The sequence below is a fragment of the Homo sapiens genome, chromosome 15 (assembly GCF_000001405.40).
Source record: "Homo sapiens chromosome 15, GRCh38.p14 Primary Assembly".
Classification (NCBI taxonomy): Eukaryota; Metazoa; Chordata; class Mammalia; order Primates; family Hominidae; genus Homo; species Homo sapiens.
Genome location: NC_000015.10, coordinates 26,325,007 through 26,326,414, shown reverse-complemented (window position 1 = coordinate 26,326,414; position 1,408 = coordinate 26,325,007). Strand labels below are relative to the sequence as shown.

The following is a 1,408-nucleotide window of genomic DNA, read 5'->3' as shown; positions in this document are numbered from 1 at the left end:
GAGTAGCTGGGACTACAGGCACCCGCCACCACGTCCAGCTAATTTTTTTTTTTTTTGTATTTTTAGTAGAGATGGGGTTTCACCGTGTTAGCCAGGATGGTCTTGATCTCCTGACCTCGTGATCTGCCTGCCTTGGCCTCCCAAAGTGCTGGGATTACAGGCGTGAGCCACTGTGCCCAGCTTTCTCCTCAATTCTTAAGGTGAAAGTTTAGATTATCAAGTTGAGAGAATTCATCATTTCTAATATAGTCTTTTCAACTATAAATTTTTTTCTAAGCTCTTTCTTCACTGCATCCAATAAATTGTGATAAGTTGTATTTTTCTTTCTATTCAGCTCAAAATAGTTTCTAAGTCCCCTTGTGATTTTCTCTTTGAACTATGCGTGATTTAGAGTATGTTATTTAATCTCCAAATATTTGTAGATTTCTTAATTATTTCTGTTGCTGATTGCTAATTTAATTGCATTATGACTGAAGATAAAATAATTCAAAATATTTTACTCCAAAATATAATTCCTTGACATATTTTGAAATGACTGCCTCAGGATTAGCAGACTCAAGTGGGAGAAATTTGCAACTGTAGAGAATCTCCATTAATGCAGCCTGCCTCCCCTTTCTATGCCTTTCTAATCCAGGAGAGGATGGAATTTGATATCCTTAAAAGTCTGAAAGGAAACAGTTACTATCTATTCTCTCTGAGGGAGGCTTCATCTACATAACAAGGACACCCCTTGCTAGCCACACCTCTTCCTTTCTCTCTCCTGTCATCTGTCTTGCCACTAAACTTGAGTTACCAGCATAACCTGATTTTGGACACATTGAGTCTGTGTTTTTTCTGTGGCCTCAGGATGGTATATAAGCTTCTGTATCTTATTGTTGGGTTGGATCTTCATTCTGAAGGCTCCCATGTATACACATTAAATAAATTTGTATGCTTTGTCAATGAAAAGAGTCAAACTCTTCAAAATATTTGAAGAGATTTATTCTGAGCCAAATATGAATGACCAATGGCATGTGACACAGCCCCAGGATATCCTGAGAACATGTGCCCAAGGTGGTCAGGATGGAACACTGATTCAGTCCAGAAAGATGGGACAACTGAAAGCAGGGGCTTCCAGGTCATGGATGGATTTGAAGATTTTCTGATTGGCAATTGGTTGAAAGAGTTATTTCAATCCCTTATCTTAACCCAGACTCTCTTCTATTAATTTCAGGTCTTAAGTGGGAGACCTGAAATTAATAGAAGAGAGCATCTGGGTTAAGATAAGGGATTGTGGAAACTAAGTTTCTTATTGTACAGATGAAGCCTCCAGGTAGCAGGCTTCAGAGAGAATCAATTTTAACTATTTCTTATCACACAAAGAGTGTGTTCTATCAGTTTTAAGGTCTCTGTTTTGATGTTAATGCTG

At 38.1% G+C, this 1,408-nt stretch overlaps 1 annotated feature.

Annotated features, from left to right (window-relative positions):
* Positions 281-1,001: an enhancer, noted in NCBI's record as "OCT4-NANOG-H3K27ac hESC enhancer chr15:26570561-26571281 (GRCh37/hg19 assembly coordinates)". NCBI's record gives its function as "activates a minimal SCP1, AML or CMV promoter by ChIP-STARR-seq in naive and primed H9 embryonic stem cells {active_cell/tissue: H9 hESC(naive and primed)}" and the evidence as "EXISTENCE:reporter gene assay evidence [ECO:0000049][PMID:30033119]".